Consider the following 19,219-nt stretch of genomic DNA (forward strand, 5'->3'; position numbering starts at 1 on the left):
TCAGGAGATCGAGACCATCCTGGCTAACACGGTGAAACCCCGTCTCTACTAAAAATACAAAAAATTAGCTAGGCATGGTGGCAGGAGCCTATAGTCCCAGTACTCAGGAGGCTGAGGCGGGACAATGGTGTGAACCTGGGAGGTGGAGCTTGCAGTGAGCTTGAGATTGCGCCACTGCACTCCAGCCTGAGCGACAGAGCGAGACTCCATCTCAAAAAATAAATAAATAACATAAAAACAGAAGAAAAAATTCTGAACCTGGTTCTTTACCTGTTTACCCCTTCGCTCCCCTATTTCTCCAGACATAGCAATATGAAACGGTGAAGAAATGCTTCTCATCCAAATTTATAACCTTTTTTGTCTTGCTAAGTTTCAGATTCAGTATCTTCATGGAAAAACTTTGAATTAAGCTTGAACTCTGATATGGCCATGTCATGTGGCTTTATGTTTTTACAGAAGAGGTATGTTTGTGTTGCTGAGGTGGTAGTTGATGATGATGATGATATTTTGGTGGTGTAAAACTTGAAACGCTTATCTGAATTTTTTTCTCATCAAGAATGGTATATTTTTATGTTATAGCAAGTGAAGAATATCTTTTTCAATGATTATGGGTTAGGGGATTATGGACTTTTTAATTTTCATCTTTTGCACTTATATGTATTCTCCAAATTCCCTTATTTTATATATGTACACATGAATGCAATATACACACACACATATTGCTCTAATGCTAGGAAAAGGAAAATTTATTTTGGTGTTTTAAAAGCATCTAAAATAAAGGGAAGGAAACATAATGTTGGAGATTCATGAATGCATATAGTGCTCATACTAATGATCATTCTGAGAAATTAATTTTGTTCTAAATGAGATTACTTCTTTTTATCTCTACTCAGTTCTATAGTTACTGCACAGCATTAATCTATAATAGCCACGGGAGGTCACTGGCATTTTTTCTATGCAGCAGGATATCCCACTGGTCCAATGCTATGACACAGGTAGCTAGTGTGTAGGTTTAGACAATACTTCCTCCTCAAAACCCATCTGGATGGGCTGATTTATGTGGAGGCTGAGACATCTCTGGCAGTGGAAAAGACAAGACTTCTGTCAATGTTGGACTTTGAATAGGTACAACATATCTAATTGGATGCGGTTGTGAGGTACTGTGAAAAAAGCAAGATTATAGGCAGGGCTGAACTCGTCATAAAGAATGAAGTCTGTCATAGTCAGCAGGATGATATAGCCGTGTGTGGCAACAGGTAAAGTGAACCAGGCAGGTATAAATATTTGAACAGGAAAAATCTCATGTTTCCTGGGTATGGGTCCAAGTATAAAACTTCTAAATCACAGCACAGCAGCAAGTGTTTGCCTTTCAGAGGAGCTTTTGTGGACAGGATGGGCTGACAGCAATCTTTGACTGACCTAATCTTTGGAGATCTGCACGTCAGTGGGTTCAGGGGCTGAAATGATCCCCTGGGGCCAGTGGTAGAGTCCGGGTGTAGTTATAAGAGGAGAGCGCCAGCCTCAGTTTTTGTATTAATGGTGGTGGCAGCCCTGCAGGAACAAGGGCCTGTGCATCAGTGGTTCTCTGGCATTGTGTCTGGGAGAGAATGATCAACAAGACTGTAGTTGAGACTACAGTGTGACCAAATAAATTGGGCAGAGAGAGACACATGTAAGAGACTTCCATCTCTGATCTCTGGAGAAGCACAGAGACTTTTGTATTCCAATATAGATTGATTTTTATAAAAAGATGGATTTAAGGGGCTCATAGCCAGTCATCTCCAGTGTTGTAAATGGCAACCAAATATTTAGTAGAAATATAAATCCAATTACATCAAGCATTATTTAACTTACACAGTCACAGAATTCATCAGTGTTTCATTATTCTGACATTTTTTAAGGCCAAGTCATCAGGTTGTAAGAGGGAATTCATAAGGACAGAAAAACATAATCGTGCTACTTCCTTTGCTATTACATATAAGTAACAATGATAGCAAACATTTATACCCTTTAGATTTGTTATCTCACTGAATTATCTCTGTAACCTTATGAGGAAGGTGCTTTTTTAAATCACTATTTTATACATGGGAAAATTAAGGCAGATGGAATTTGAGTAATTTTCCCAGGATCCTACAGTTTACAAATGGTAGAAAAGGGATTTGAACTCAAGTAGCATGTGATTACCCACTATGTTATGCCCAATACTGGGAGAAATATGCTATGCTAGAACATGCTATATAACCAATAAATGGAATATTTATTTGAACTTTATGGTACTTTTTGACTGTGTTTAAATGATTTATTTAAATCAAGATTCCATCTGAGTTTCCCTACTACATAGTGCTTGTGAAGAGTTACAGTGACACTAGTTAACATGACTGAGTAGTTGGTGGCTTCTATTAGCAGTAAATTGATGACGTGACAACCTGGAATGAGAAGAAGGGTAGAAAACACAGAAAATGTTTGTTCTTTAAGAGTTTATGATTTTTTTGTTATTACTGTTAGGGAAAACACTATTATTGTAGTATGTTTTAATTAAAGATGAAATAAGATAGAGGTTTGTATCTATGATATCATATTGAGATTAATTCACTTAATGGTAGCAGTGCAGCAATCGATAAATGCTTTGACTTTGTACTAAGATGAAAGTCTTACTTGGATAAAAACTTACAGAGCTGATTTTGTTACCTTAGGAAAGGCGGAATGATTTAAGCTTGGCAAATGCATCTAAAATAAGTGTTCATTATTCTATTTAGGTAAAGCTGGAGGGATTTATCTGGTGATGTGCTTTATGACTGTCCTTGGCTCTGTCTACCTCAACAATTTAATAAATAACAGAATGAGGACATTGGTTGCAGAGTGATCATATTTATGCTCTATCCATTCACTTACACAGAAATTCATATTTACAGAGTACCTCCTATGTGTGCCAGGCACTATCTTAGGACATGAAATGCAGCAGTGAACAAAACACAAAAAATGTATTGCCTTCATAGATTTTTACATTAAAATGTGGAAAGAGAGTCACTCACACACAAAAAGGACAAACAAAACATATACCATATTAGAGATAGGCACTGTATACCATATTGGTGATAGGCACTATTAATAAAACGAATGAAGTGGGTAGAAAGTGCCAAGGGTTCACAATTTTTAATAGGGTAGTCAGGTAAGGCCTCGGGAGTTGTTGACATGTGACTAAGACTTCACAGATGAGGGAGTACATTATTTAGATATATGGGGGAAGAGCAGAGGGAACAAGTGCAAAGGCCTGAGGCAAGAAACATCAAGTGTGACTGGAGCTAAGTAAGCCAGATGTGATGTCAGAGAGGAACAGAGTGAGGCCGTACCCGCAGAGCTTTGCAAATCATGAAAAGATGTTGGCTTTACTTGTGAGTTAGTCAATGAAGTATTCAGAACAAAGGTGTTACATGACTTTACTTGTTTTTTAGATGGTGTGATTCTAGTTGATAGGGTAGAAAACCAATTGTAGGAAAAATAAATGATGGAAGTAAGGAGAGCTACTACAGTAATGCATCCAAAAGGTGATGATAACAGTAATTATTGAGGTGGTAGCTCAATTTCTGGATATTTGTTCATTATTGAGGTAAAATTTACATTATTCATACTGTGTACCAGGCACTGTTTTTTATGATATATTATGGTTTAAAAAAGACTTAACATGAGGTCTACAATCTTAGCAAATATTTCAGTGTACAGTACAGTGTTGTTAACTATAGGCACAACGTTGCATGCAGATCTCTAGGACGTATTCATCTTACATAACTGAAATTTTACACTCATTGAACAGCAATCTCTTATTTCCCCACCTCTCTTTCAGCCTCCAGCAACCACCATTCTACCCTCTGCTTCTAGGAGTTTTACTATTTTAGATTCCTCATATAAGTATCTGCCCTTTTCTGCCTGGCTTATTTCACCCTGCGTAAGGTGTTCAGAGTTCATTCATGTTGTCACATGGATAGGATTTCCTTCTTTTTTAAGTCTACATAATATTCCATTGTATGTATATCACATGTTTTTCCTACTCATCCATCAATGGACCTTTAAGCTGTTTTCACATCTTGGCTATTATAAGTAATGTTGCAATGGACATGTGAGGTCAAATATCTCTTTGAGATCCCTATTTTAATTCTTTTGGATAAATGCCTAGAAATGGGATATTTGGATTGTTTGGTACTTATAATTTTTCAAGGAACCCCCACACTGTTTGCCATAGAAGATGCACTGTTTTACATTCCCATCCACAGTGTACAAGAGTTCCAATATCTCCACCTCTTTATCAATACTTGTTATTATTTGTTTCTTGGTAATAGACATCCTAATAGGTACAAGGTAATATATGAATAGGTTTTAATTTACCTTTCCTGATGATTAGTGATATTGAGCATCTTTTCATATACACGGTGTTCATGTGTATATCGTCTCTGAAGAAACATCTATTGAAATCCTTTGCCCATATTTTACTTGGGTGAAATATGGCAAGAGGTGTGGCTATTTATTTGTAGTGATTCCTTATATATTTTAGATGTTAAACTTTTATTGGATATATAGTTTGTAAAAATTTTCTCTCATTCAAGACATTTCCATACAGTAGATTTCTTTCACTTTGTTGATTATTTCCTCTGTTCTGCAGAAGCTTCTTAGTTTGATATAGTCTTACTTGTCTCTTTTAGTGTTTAATGTCTGTGTTTTTGGTGTCATATCCAATAACTCATTGCCTAGACCAAATATCAAGGAGCTTCCTCCCTATGTTTTCTTCTAAGGGTTTTACAGTTTCAGGTATTCCATTTAAGCTATTAATTCATTTTAAGTTGATTTTTGTCTATCATATAAGATAGGGTTTAATTTCAATCTTTTGCATGTGGATACTAGTTTTCCTACCACCATTTGTTTAAGAGGCTATTCTTTCCTGATTAGATACACTGGCAATCTTGTCAAAGATCAGTTGACCACATATGGATGAGTTTATTTCTGGACTCTCTGTTTTGTAATATTGGTTTATATGTCTATCTTTATGCCAGTACCATACTATTTTGATTATTTTAACATTGTCATGTATTTTGGAATCAGTAAGTACTGTATTTTGAAGTCTGAGGCCTCAAAATTTATTTTTCTTTCTCAGGATTGATTTTGGCTTTTCATGGCCTGTTGTGGGTTTCTAGTGAATTTTAGGATTATATTTCCTATTTCTGTAAATTATGCCATTGGAATTTTGATAGGGATTGCATTGATTCTGCATATTGATTTGGGTGGTTGGACATTTTAACAATATTAAGTCTTCCAGTCTTTGGACTTTTGATGTCTATTTGCTGTGTTTTTTAAAATTTCTCTCATCAATGCAGTGTTTTTTTGTAAACAAGTCTTTCACCTCCTTAGTTTATTCTTACATATTTTATTCTTTGTGGTGCACCTGTAAATGACACTGTTTGCCTAATTACCTTTTCAGATAGTTTTTTGCTAGTATACAGAAATGAAACTGATTTTTGCTGGTTGATTTTGTATCCTGCAACTTTACTAAATGAATTTATTTGTTCTAACAGTGCTTTTTCTGGAGTCTCTAATGTTGTCTAAGATCATTTGTCTATGTGTCTATAGACTTTAGTGTTGTCTATGTATAAGATTATGTGTATATATGAATACATATATACGATCATGTAAGATGGAGTCGGAATATTTTAGTTCTTTCTGTTTTTGATGTCATCAGTTTCTTTTTCTGGCACAGTTGCTCTGGAGAGAACTTCTAGTAATATTCTGAAAGAAGTGGTGAGAGTGGCATTCTTGCCTCATTCCTGATTGTAGAGACAAGCTTTCTGTTCTTGTTAAGTCTGATATTAGTTGTGGACTTTTCATATATCACTCTTGTTATATTCAGGTAATTTCCTTTACTTCTCATTTTCGAGGGTTTTTATCATAAGAAGGTGTTGAATTTTGCCAAATTCTTTTTGTGCATATGTTGAGATGATCCTGTGATTTTTATCCTTTATTCTGTTGATTTGCTGTATCACGTTAACTGATTTGGGCATGTTGAACATCCTTGCATCACAGGAATAAATGCCGCATAATCATCATCTATGATCCCTTTAATGGGCTGTGGGATTCCATTTGCTAGTATTTTTTGAAAATTTTTGCATCTATATCCATCATAGATATTGGTGTGTAGTTTTCTTGTGGTTTCTTTGCCTGGCTTTGATATCAGGATAATTACCAGCCTCAAGAATTGAGTTTGTAAATGTTCCCTCATTTTCTTTTTTTTTTTTTTCCAACAGCACATTGAAACAATATTTTACTATTATCGAGTGCAGTTTATCCCAGGGATGTAAAGATAATTTGACACAGGCACATCAATAAATGTGATGCATCACATTAACAGAAAGGACAAAAACCCTCTGATCATTTCAAAAGACACATAAAAAGTATTTGACAAAATTCAGCATATACTCATAATAAGGAAAAATTGTGTACTTGATTAAATGGTTTCTGCTGCTTTTTTCTCTTTTCTTTTTAAAAATAATTTCAACTTTTATTTTAGTTTCAGGGAGTGCATGTACGGATTTTTTGCATGGGTATATTTTATGATGCTGAGGTTTGAGGTACAGATGACCCTGTGTGATGAGCATAATAACCAGTAGGTAGTTTTTCACCCCACATCTCCTTCTTCCCTCCTTTAGTAGTCCCTAGTGTCTGTTGTTTGCATATTTATATCCAAGTGTACTCAACATTTAGCTCCCACGTATCAGTAAGAACATGTAATTTTTGGTTTTCTGTTCTTGCATTAATTTGCTTAGGATAATGGCCTCCATCTGCATCCGTGTTGCTGCAAAAGACATGATTTCATTCTTTTTCATGGCTGCATAATATTCCATGGTGTTTATGTACCACATTTTCTTTATCCAACCCACCATGAGTGGGCACCTAGATTGAGTCCGTGTCTTTGCTATTGTGAATAGCGCTGAGATGGACATGCAAGTGTATGTGTATTTTTGGTACAATCATTTATTTTCCTTTGGGTATATATCCAGTTCCCTCATTTTCTATTTCATATTTTAAATATTTGGTAGAATTTAGTAGTGAAGTCATCTTATCCTGGGCTTTTATTTTTTGAGAGGTGTTTGATTACTGATTCTATTTCTTTATGATGTAGTTTTGATATGTGTGTTTCTAGCAATTTGTTCATTTATTCTGGATTATGTAATTTGTTAGGGTATAATTTTTCATACTAGTCTCTTATGTGATCTAACATATGAAATACTCTGGAGAAAGATGCATGTCTGAGAAGAGTGTGTATTCTGCTCCTGTTTGGTAGAATGCTCTTTAAATGTCAGGTCCATTTTTTCTTTAATGTTATTCAGATTATCTGTTTTCTTATCGATCTGTCTGGATGTTGTGTCCATTATTGAAAATGAGGTGTGAAGTCTCCTGCTATTATTGTATTGTGGTCTATTTCTCCTTTCAGTTCTGTCAATGTTTGCTTTATATATCGAGGTGCTCTGATGTTGAGTGCATATATATGTTTATCATGGCCCTATCTTCTTGACGCATTGACCCTTTTATCATTATAAAAGCTTTTTCTTTGTCTCTGAAATAGTTTTTGACTTAATGGTCATTTGTCTGATGTACCCCTACTCTCTTTTGGTTATGATTTATAATATATGGGATATCATTTTCTATCCCTTCACTTTCAGCCAATGTGTGTCCTTAAATCTAAAGTTTCTTTTTTTTAATCTGTTCAGTCACTCTATGTCTTTTGATTAGAGAGTTTAATCCATTTAAAGTAATTATTGATAGGAAAGGATTTGCTATTGACATTTTGTTAGTTGTTTCTTATTATTCTTACAGTACTTTTGTATGTCTTCCTCTCTTGTTTTCCATTGGGTTTTGTTGGGGTTTTTTTTGGTATTGTTATGCCTCAATTAGTTTTTTGTTCTTGTTGTTTTGTGTAAATTTTACAGATTTGTATGTGTGTGTGTGTGGTTACCTTGCTACTTACATAAAATATCTTACAACTGTCTACTTTATGCTAATAAGTTGAATTGCATACAAAAACTTACAATTTAACTTCCTCCCCAGAACATACTTTATGTTATTATTTTCAAAATCTATTCATATTATTTATCTTTTAATAATTGTGTTTGTATCTTTATAGTTTTCAAAATAATTTTTTCTTTTAACTTTTATGCTAGAATTAAATGTGTTTTACCCACCACCATTACAATAATACAATATTTTATATTTGTGTATATATTTACTTTTCTCAACCAGTTTTATACTTTCTTATGCTGTCATGTTGCTGTTTAATGCCTTTTCATTTTGAATTGAAGAACACCACTTAACATTTCTTGTAAGGCAGGTCCGGTGTTGATGATCTCCCTCAATTTATTTTGTTTGGAAAAGTCTTTATCTCTCTTTCATTTTTAAAGGACAGTTTTTGCCAGGTGGAGTATTATTTGATGACAGTTTTATTTTTCTTTTTCCTTCAGCACTTTGAATATATCACCTCATCTTCTGCCCTACATGGTTTCTGTTGATAAATTTACTCATAGTCTCATGGATATTTCCTTGTATGGGACTGGTCACATTTTCTTGATGAATTCAAAATTCTCGTTTGTCTTTGACTTTTGATAATTTGATTATAATGTGCCTCAGTGTGTATTTCTTTGAATTTGTCTTATTGATGTTCTTTGGATTTGTGGATATGGATGTTCATTAACTTCCCCAGATTTGTGAAGCCTTCAACAATTATTTCTTTGAATAAGTTTTCTGGTTGTTTTTCTCTATTATCATTAAGAGACTTCCATAATTTGTATATTGGTCTGCTTGCTGGTATTCCATAAATTTCTTAAGCTTTCTTTAAATTTTTTTCTATTCTTTTTTTCTCTTTTTACTCCTCCGAGTTATTTCCAGTGACTTCTATTCCAGTTCGCTGATACTTTCTTCTGCTTGATCTAGTCTGCTGCTGAACCCCTTTAGTGCATTTTTCAGGTCACTTGTGTTCTTCAGCTTCATGATTTTGGTTTAGTACTTTGTAATATTTTCTCTTTCTTTGTTGAAATTCTTACTTTCATTGGGCTCTCAACCTTATGAAAGTTATTTTTAATTCATTGTCAGGTTAACCATTTCATTAGGGTTGATTTCTGGAAGTTTATCTTGTTCCTTTTTTTGGAGCATCTTAGTCGGATTCTTCATTTTTCTTGACTCTCTCTGTTGGTATCTGCACATTAGACAAAGCAGACACCTCTATCAGTCTTTACTGACTTGACTTGTACAGAAGGCTCCCACCAATCAACCTACCCAGGGATTCTGGTGGCCTCTATCAACTCTTTTCCTCCCACAGGAAGGGAAGGCTTTTGTCAGCTTACTCTGTGATAAACTGAAGCTATGGTGTCTATAACCCACTGTTTCTATTTTTCCTCAGGTGGCTAGATTGTGCCATCTCCATCAGAGCTTCAGGACTCACAAGGCAGAAGCTAGTTGTTTAGGAAGCCCTAGAGATATTGTAGCATTGGATACACAGATCAACTCTTTCCTTTCCAAGAAGAAAGCTGAAAAAAAATTGGGATTTTTTTTGTTTGTTCGTTTGCTCACTCTGTGCTGAGCAGTGGGGAGTATCAATGGCCTGTACCAGCCCAAGATGTTGCCTGCATTCTTCCTCAGGTGTCTAGACTGTGCTGGGCCCATCAGAGCTTCAAGGCTAGCAAGGCAAAGGCCAGTTCTCTGTGTCCCCCCGCCCCGACTCCCCACCCTGCTTCCTTGGAAATGCAAGGGAACTGAACATGGGATCCAAGCCCTTACCTCCCCTGGGTGAAACCAGGAGCTTGGGCATCTCTTTCTGATCTTAGGGAACCACACTGAGACAAGGGTGTCTGGTGAGAGGGTGTTTCATATCTCTCTGTCAGCTTCAGTGAGTCTGGTTTTGCATTCTCCCAGGATGCAGGAACCTTTCAATTAGTTTCTGATTTCCCACACAGGGAATTCTTCCATCAATTGTGGCTGAATCGATATGCTTGTATGAAGAAGGAGAGTCTAGGATTTCCTGTTCTGCCATCTTGCTGACATCACTCTGCTACATTCTTGTATGATTAGTTTTGTAGGCATATGTTTTTATGTCTCTTGGGTAAATACTAGGAATACAATTGTTGGCATACAGAGTAGGCATGTATTTAACACTGTAAGGTATCTTCCAGTTTTTCAAAATGTTTGATTTTCAGTCTGACTAGCAATATATGAGATGTCAAGTTGCTCTGCATTCTAGCTAACGTGTTGTGTTGTCAGCCTTTTTAATGTCAGCAGTAGTGCTATGTGTGAAGTAAAATTTTAATGAGGTCTTAATTAGCATTTTCTGGATTTATTTTTTATGGACATTGAGTAGGTTTATGATGATTGGATATTGTTTCAAGGGAAAGAGTGGTAAAAAGGATGGCACAAGGGACATTTGGCCTTATCAATTAAAAAGTAGTATTGTCCATTAACAGAAATGGGGATGACTGAAATATATGCAGGTGGGGGCAGGAAAAGGAATATAAAAAATTCAGTATTAGGTGTGTTAATTTTATATTCCTATTAGATAAGTTCAAGTAGAGATGTCAAGTAGGAGGTTGGCTATATGAGTTTAAGTTCAGGGAAATATCTATTTGAAAATCATCAGCATATAGATGTTAATAAAGCCATGAGATTTGGTGAGATCACTAAGGGAGGAATTTTAAGTAGAAAAGAGCTGAGAACTAAGCCCTGGACTCCTCCATAATTGGACCCATTAAAAGAAACCAGAAAAAGATTTTGAGATTAAGTAGCCAGAGAGGACAGAAGAAACGAGAGAATGTGACACTCAGAAGCCCAATAAAGGAGAGTTTTCAATAGAGAAGTAGTGATTAATTGTGCCTGATATTGCCCAAAGGGAGGATTCTGCTACATTCTTAGGGAACAAAAGGTTGTGGTCAGAGGGTGGGATGCTTGAAGCTATAATTATATTCAGTTCTAGTTATTAGTAATGTAAAGGTCTGGAGAATGATGATTGAGACAGTGGCTCTATTAGGCTGAAGGACAAGATCACAGGAAGAAAGGAATTTAAGAGACAGGTCAGTTTGTTGGAAGCATGTTGGAACAAGTGATATGCAATTGGAAAAGCTTTTTAAAAATGTGTGTGTGTATGTATTTGACAAGCAAGAATAATAGGCTAAATCTGTCAATATGTCATTTACTAAGATTAAAAAAGGAAGTTTTGTATTGAGGTGTAATATATTAAATGCATCAGGGAAATAATTATTTAACGTTAGGCTATATATATGGAATTTAATGGATTTAGTTGACTGTGAACTTAGTAAAGCTTTGCCATTAGATTCTTAATGATTTCCAATAAATTTTTTCAAAAAGGACTTACAAAAAACATGGTTAGTCCTTATCTGTATTAAATAATTTCAGCAACCAAAGTAAGAAAGGCTGCTCCTCTTTACAAGCATAGGTCAGCCACACCTTAAATGTCATGTGCCTTCACATATTCTATATTGAGCATATCAAAGGAAGAGAGACTAGGATTATGAGCGAAGTTCAAGCCTTATCACATGACTATAGTGTTATCAGACAGACAATTTCATATATTTCCCTTGAGAAAAAAAAATTAAGGAAAAGTAAATGAGTGGCATTTTATATTCCTCCTTGAGCAGTAGTGACAGGAGAATGTAGAGATACCCCTGCTTGGCAGTATTAAGAATTTTTATATTTTAGTGATTGATAGCACTGCTTAATCAGCAATGTAATCCTTAAAAAATTTTGAAAATCAGTAAACGAGTTAACTTTATGGTGAAGACATCACATTTTCTGGATTCTAAGACACCATCAGTTACACCATATACCATTATTTTATGTAGCAAACTGCCATTATAATTATGATATGCCTTCATTTTTAAAACTCATTCTGATTTCAGAAATATTAAAATGTGAAAAAAGGGTTTTGGTATGTATAGTGATATGTAGCAATTAAAAACTGTAGCTCCTCAACTTTTTGTTTTGAATAATGTTGGTGTCTTAGTGTGCTATGTATCTTTCACATAATCCAAATCTACAAAAATATATTTTTGAAAACACATACTTTTTACTAAATATCAAATGCTTTTTTATATAAAATATTATATTTTATTATAGTTAGAAGATAGCTAATGCCTTCTCTGAATAACTTTTCAAAGCACGTTCAGCTCTTAGAGATCAGTAACAAAATTCTTATTGGGTTAATATCAGTTTTTCAGATAAAACGTTATTCTTCATTTGCTTCACTGATGCCATGTCTTTTGACTATTAGTAACAAAATTAAGTCTACATAAAGAATATGTTAGAGATACCATGTATCCTAATTACTCCACCTGGGGTTCCTTCAGCAGTTTGCTCTAAGTTGCTCTTTTGGCTGTGTTGTAAAGTAGTTCACACACTTGTACCTTCTGGTTTATGGGTGAATTTTGTCAGTGCATTCTATCTTTATTTGTAAGAGTTCTTCCTTGAAGTCAGATTAGGCTATCGCGGGAACAGCATGCTTCTAAGATGTTTGTGTAATGTTGATTAATGTGACATTGTATTGTAACTTTATGGTAATAATTCTTTATCATTTAAAAGCATCTTGAATTCAAGATGTTTTTACTTTAATGCAGATTTTCTTATGAAGGATCCTAAAAACTTGGATGCAATAATACTGCTGAAAAAAACATTGTTTTTGTTTTTGTTTTTGTTTTTTTGTGTGAATATGCACCAGAAAGCTGGACTTTAACCTTAAGTAAATTTAGTGGAGAGCAAAGAAGTGGCACTTCACGAAAGTGCTATGAAGCAGCTATTTCTAACATCAAAACATCCGGTAACTTGTAAGCTTCATAGTTTTCTAATTACTGAATGCCGGCTACATGTAACCATAGCCATTATATAATCATGTTTAAAGATGAGAGTAAAGGAAGTGGTAAAGATCTAGATAATATGTAATCTTATTTAGTTAATGTTTATGAATGATGCAGAAAAAATAATTTAAGAAAAACACTAAGCCATAGATATACTCTTTCACAGATAGCCAAGTAGTGAAGGCATTAGGTACAGATCATTTTGGAAGTATGTACAGGAGAATACGGGATGGATATAAAATTCTGCTTATTTCTTAAAGTAATTAGCTATAAAATGCTTTTTTACTTTGAATTATTAACCTTTCTAATTATTTGCCTTCCCACCAAGAAAGGCATGAGAGGTAAAGGTGGGATGAATCAATTTCATATTTTTCAATAGCAAATTTGAAGTGAATTCAATTTTGGTTAAGGTAGAAAAACTTATTTCATAGAAAAATTCTGTGGGGAGGTCCAGGAGAAAAATTAATATTGTATTTGCATGCCATAGGTAGGATCACAGATGAATTTCAGTGGTACCCAATTACCTATATCTAAGCAAAAGGTAAAGCCATCCTTCCTAAATGATCTGTTTGATTGATAGCATCTTTCTCAATATTTTTGATTGTACAGGAAGAACGCAGCAAGGCAAAATGGTCAGCACAGGCAATGAATGAGACAGAAAGCTGACCTGAGCATCTGCCTGTGTTCTACTCTGTTGTAATTTTAGTTGCATCGGTATAATTCCATATTGGCATCATGCCGTCTTTCACTTTATTTTGCATTGTCATATAAAGCTACCATTAAGGCATATACTCTGTCCTAAATCTCATTTGATCTCTAAGTAAAAGGTCTTAACATATGTAACAAACCTGCACGTTGTGCACATGTACCCTAAAACTTAAAGTATAATAATAATAATAAAAAAAGAAAATATGTAGATGTAATTGGTTATTACATTCAAATTAAGTTCACATTATTTCATTATGATTTATGATTTAACTTGTGTTATGCAGTGATTCAATAGCTTTTCTTATTTTGTGCCTAGATTCATTATATTATTTTTTATAATCATATAATATTTATTCAATTTTATAAAATCTGTCATTATAACATCACATTGAGTAAACTCCCATGTGCAGACATTAAAACAGTTAAAGCAGAAAAAAAAAAAAAGCTATCAGGAAAGATGGCATACCTTAGGAGGTTTGCTAACTAAACTAAGGAAATCTGGTTCTCTTTCTCCTCAAGATACAGCCCTGTAGATAGCTGCAGATTTTTTTCAACTGAGGTCTTTGTGACATCAGAGTATTAGAGTATTTTCTTTCCTTCTTGTATTCTGGAGGTTTAAACAGAGCCCTGGGGATAAGGCATGATGCTATCATAGGAATAGATTCTTGTCACAAGGGCAGAAGGTTCATATGTCTTTTCTTTCAGGTCTTTTTCTTTAGAACTGATACTCTCATTTATTTATATCCAACCTTAATTTAAAAAGAGGAGGTATGGCTAAAAATATGCACACATTGCAATAACATAAAATGAATTAAAAAATCGGAATAAAAAGGAAACAACACTAGGAAACTCAAATGAAGCCGAGATTAAATTTAGAAAGTAGAAAGGGATGCTCTGCAATGTAAATTGGAATATTGCAAGTATTGTCTTTAAATAATTTTTTCACTTCTAAATGAAGAGAAAACAAATGATTATAAGATTTGAAGTGGTCATGCTATTAATACTAATACCTCGGGAGAAAACAAAAACAATTTTTGCATTCCAGTTCTCGTAGGGAGCACTGTGGTGAGGTTAACGGCATCCTCAATGATACCCTCTCCAGTGAGTACAATAAAAATTATTGTAGGCATTCTTCTTATTGTCTACATGTAATATAAGCCCAGGAGTGACAGCAACATGAAAACTCAGTAAAAAGCACGTTTATAAAACAGTGATCATCTGAAAACAGCAATCTCTGAGGACAGAGGTCTATAATTGTGTCATTTTGTTACTGGGATAAAAACTTAGAATATATAGAGGAGTAAATTGGCAAAGTCATCCTGTACAGGCCGGAGTAAATATTTTGGTTTTGGAGGTCATATGTTCTCCATCTCTACCTCTCAATTCTGCCTTTGTAGCATGAAAGAAACCATAGGTAATGTGTAAATGAATGGGTGTACCAATAAAACTTTAAGCAGTTAGATGGTGAGCCAGATTTGGTTCATGGACTGTCGTTTGCCAAATCTGATCTAGAGAAATAGGATTTTATTCACATTAGAGATTCATCTAGTCTGTAACTTCTCAGAGCAAATTTTTAATAAATATTTGAAAACAAAGATTAGAAATTCAAGTACATCTTTGAAATTAAAGACCTGAAAGACATTCTATTACCATGTAAGGGTACTATATGATATAGCTCCCCAACCAGAAAGTGGTTGATATCTTCATTTAAAAAGTAAAAAATTTAACCAGAGTTACCTCACCTCTGAATAAGGAAGGATGAATGAGTGTAATTAATCGGGGAACATTTCCCCCTTGCCCCAAATTCTGCATTCTCCAGAACAAATGTATGTTCCTATGTGACTCATGGAAAGTACAATAATAAATCATGTGCACCTGGGAATGATCACCCACCTACCAGATCTGTGAACATGAGCAAGTTTTTCTCACCTATTTTTAACTAAATCTCCTTATCAGGAAGTTGGGCATAATAATTTATTCCTCACAGGGTTGCTATAAGGCAAAATGTTTAGCCATTGGATGAATGATTGATATGAATCGATAGATCATAGTTTGGGCCCTAAAGAACATGCCAGAACTCCCAAACTCTTGCATATGGGACTGTATCTAACTCACAGACGTATTTGCTTTGTCCTGTGAAACATGGACTGTATAAGCATCTGTGATGCAAATGAGAAAAAAAATGGTAACTTTACATGAAAAAATACATTTTAGGGAAAAGAAAAACAAGTAGATCTGACTGCCCTGGGCCTGCTGCATTGAATTAAAACAGTCCATGTGAGCAAGGCATGTGGCCTCCAGTGTGCACAGCTGCTACCAGACACCTGTCACCCTGGAGCTCAGACTGGGCTCTGCTACCATTCACAGCCCAGCTTGTCCTGCTGTGTTGCTTTAGTAGTGTCCATAAGAAACAAATCCTTCTTGGTCCCATGTATATATCTTTTCTTTTTCTTTTGTATACCTGGCCTGCTTTGTTTTTTTTCTATTATGTTGTTCTTGTTAGGATCCCAGAGTAACGTAAAGTCAGGGGGTTATTAGTAGCTCTGTGATAAATGAATTCTCTAGTTAAGTAAGCTTAGGTATGCTTAAGGAAGCAAAGAAAACAGGTGTCTTCTGTGGGCCTCTCATTATCGTTTAATATATTAATGAACAGTTTCAGTTTCCAAGATAAGAGTACACCATACAGCAATCTCAAACTCATTTTGACAAATACATTTTTAAAAATTTTATTTTAATGCCCTATATGTCATGACCACTTAACTACTGACCACATTTTTCCCATGGAATGTGGTTTGGAAACAATGCTCTTTAAATCCTCACAGATCTTGTAATTTTAAAATAAACATCCCAGATATATTTGTTGCAAATGGTATCCACCAATTACCTGATAATTGAACCTACTTTATAACATTAGTGGATAATAATAGTATCAAGAGTAATATACTTAAGATTTATTGAAAACTTATAGGCAACAGGTAAGCACTTAGCTAGGTTATTTTATTTAATCTGCACAAAAATTCTGTAAAGTGGATTGTCTTATCCCTCTTCCATAAATGATAAAAATGAGGTAGAGTGAAGCTAAATAACTTGCTGGCAAGTAAGACAACTAAAGTCTTTTACCCTTACTCTTAGCTGCTGGATTTCACTGCCTTGACTTCATGCAGTAAGAGTTGGAAACATATGCTCTAAATTATATCTAAATTAGATTGATCTTGGACCGTGTTTCTTCCTGTAGTAATGATATATAAATATCAACTGCCTGTTGAAAATCACTTGAGCTTTTAAATGTAAAACCTTAATACAAGTAGAAAAGTATACGTTAGATTTATTTTGTATTTGCTGGAACATATGGCTGGCTAATTCAGTAGATTCACCAATTTATAAGATTTACAAAGAAGAGGTCATGAAACTTGATGCTTTTCAGTTTTAAAACCGTATACTATTTGATGAAAGTTTTTCTAAAGAAACTGATACTCATGGTTCTATTAAGGCACAGATTTCTTTTACCAGTCCCTGAGGGTACTGATTAGTCCTAAACTGTTCTATATTTAAGGACAGTGAAGGCTAAATAAAGATCAATAAAAGCTAAACCGAATGTTCCTGAAATCTTTTCTGCAAACGGATAGAAATTTAACCGTGGTTAGTAGAGAAGTAGATATGCCTAAACTCCCTTTGAACTCATGTAATCACTCCTCACCTTGCCCTGCCATCTTGTGTATAATGTTGCCCAAGAGGTACAAACTTTTAATTTATTAAGGGGAAAAAATATGACAGAGTGTTGAGACGATTTTCAGTGAGGTCCAGCAATGATCTGTAAGTTGTAAGAAGCCATTTGTTTTCCAGTAGGTTGATGGAGAAGAAATACACAAAATAATTATAAAATATCACCACCCATAATTGATGATTATACTATGTAAGTATATATATTTATAGTATATAGTACATAGGTATATCTATACATAACTAAATATATGTATACATACATGTTGTATTTCACTGATACCAAGATACTATTAATTATAATAATACACATCATTGATGCAATCAGAGTTTTTCAGAAAGAAGATAAGCATATCAAACAGGCCAATTTTTGGAAGACACGTTCAGATTTCAGGAACTATCAGAATTGAAATGTGTCTTATGATTAAGTCTGTCTGGATTGCTCACTATTCAGATGTAGGGGTTGATACAATGAAAGAAAAAGATAAGTTTTTCTAGGTAGCTAGGTAAAGGGCAAGGGTTGGTAGATCTGGGAAGCAAATTAATATTTTAGCATGCTGTGAAGTTTATTTTAGAAGCTCTAAATTATGCGGGTCAAGTTCCAAGCCTTGTTGAATTAGTTGGGGTTGCCTTTAAATGGGTCACCCTCTAATCATGCCTTATTTGTCCCTCTGGTATATTTACAGGTACTGAAGATGGATGGGGATCATTAGGTTTCTCTTATTATATTGTCCCACAAATATCTTAACCGTGAGTTTTTCAGAGTAATATTTTTCCATTTGTGTCTACAGGGTAATATATATTTGAAGAACTCATGACCATACATCAGTGTTCATGTTTCACTAAGATTGTTTCATTTTCATCCAGAAAAAAGTTTTATTTTATGTAAATAATATGTATTTTTCTGGCTCTGAAAATGATGCATGGTATTGAAGACAACTTGGAAAATGTTGGTACAAAATAGATTACTTAAAGTCACCCATAATAGCCCATTTACCTATAATGACATAATTTGAACTGTCCATTCGTCTGCTTTACATGTTTTTTGATATAAAGTTGAGATCACGTAGTATATATATATTTTTAATTATTTCCATTTAAAATGAACATTGTGAACATGTTATCTTTAAAACAAGATGTTTAGTCTGGGTAGATAAGCAAGCATATGTTCAATAGTTTTATTCAGTGAAATAATTGCTGCTTTTATACAAGTTAGACTCAAATTATCCATGTTATTAGACTGACTTCAGAGAGGAGAGTTTTATAGGCTATCGTTTTAAAGGAAATTTATTGTCATATAAAGCTCAACAAGGGGAAAGTAGAACTAATTATCATATTTGTAACTTGTCACTGCATTTTGTGATACTGTATTACCATGAGCTCAGGTGGTCCTAGATGCTTGGAAATTTTAACAAAGGAAATTGTACAAATTCCAATGGATAATAGCAACCTCAAATTTCATAGTATTTCTGAAAACAGCAGAAAGACTCCCCATAATTTTAAATCATTGTCACAAGTTTACATTTTCTTGAGAGTCTCTGGTCCTTAAAGTTTAATAAGATAGTCCAAATTGATAAAACTCTTTGCCCCTGGTTGAAGAAGTTTCCATAGCATGATGGTTTATTATTCTCTTCCCCCAAAGTATCTGGTGTCTACATTCATGTTAAAAAACAACAACAACAACAACAAAACAGAAAGGAAATAAATATAAGAGAATTGCATAGAATTTTTAGAAATTAATTTAATACACTTGCTTGTAGCCAAAAGGCCAATAAGTGATTAGAAATTAATTTAGTTAAAATTATCTGTAGTATAAATCATTTTTCCTGTGATTTTAATCTCTATTGTGATAAGTGTTAGGCATCACATTTCAAAATAAGGTTCCTTTTTTAGCTCTGTTA

General features: G+C 34.3%; 1 protein-coding gene across 9 annotated transcripts in view; it reads left to right on the forward strand.

Annotated features, from left to right (window-relative positions):
* Window positions 1-19,219, forward strand: part of NKAIN2 (sodium/potassium transporting ATPase interacting 2) — a 1,021,776-nt gene that overhangs the window by 300,009 nt on the left and 702,548 nt on the right. Inside the window, exon 2 of one of the 9 annotated variants that reach the window (NM_001300737.2) lies at window positions 18,005-18,068. The exons of the other annotated variants lie outside the window; for them this stretch is intronic. Within the exon in view, the coding sequence (NP_001287666.1) occupies window positions 18,018-18,068 (51 nt within the window). The 5' untranslated portion in view covers window positions 18,005-18,017. The remainder of the gene's footprint in view (window positions 1-18,004; window positions 18,069-19,219) is intronic. 9 annotated transcript variants of the gene reach the window in all.

The sequence above is a fragment of the Homo sapiens genome, chromosome 6 (assembly GCF_000001405.40).
Source record: "Homo sapiens chromosome 6, GRCh38.p14 Primary Assembly".
NCBI classification, from domain to species: Eukaryota; Metazoa; Chordata; class Mammalia; order Primates; family Hominidae; genus Homo; species Homo sapiens.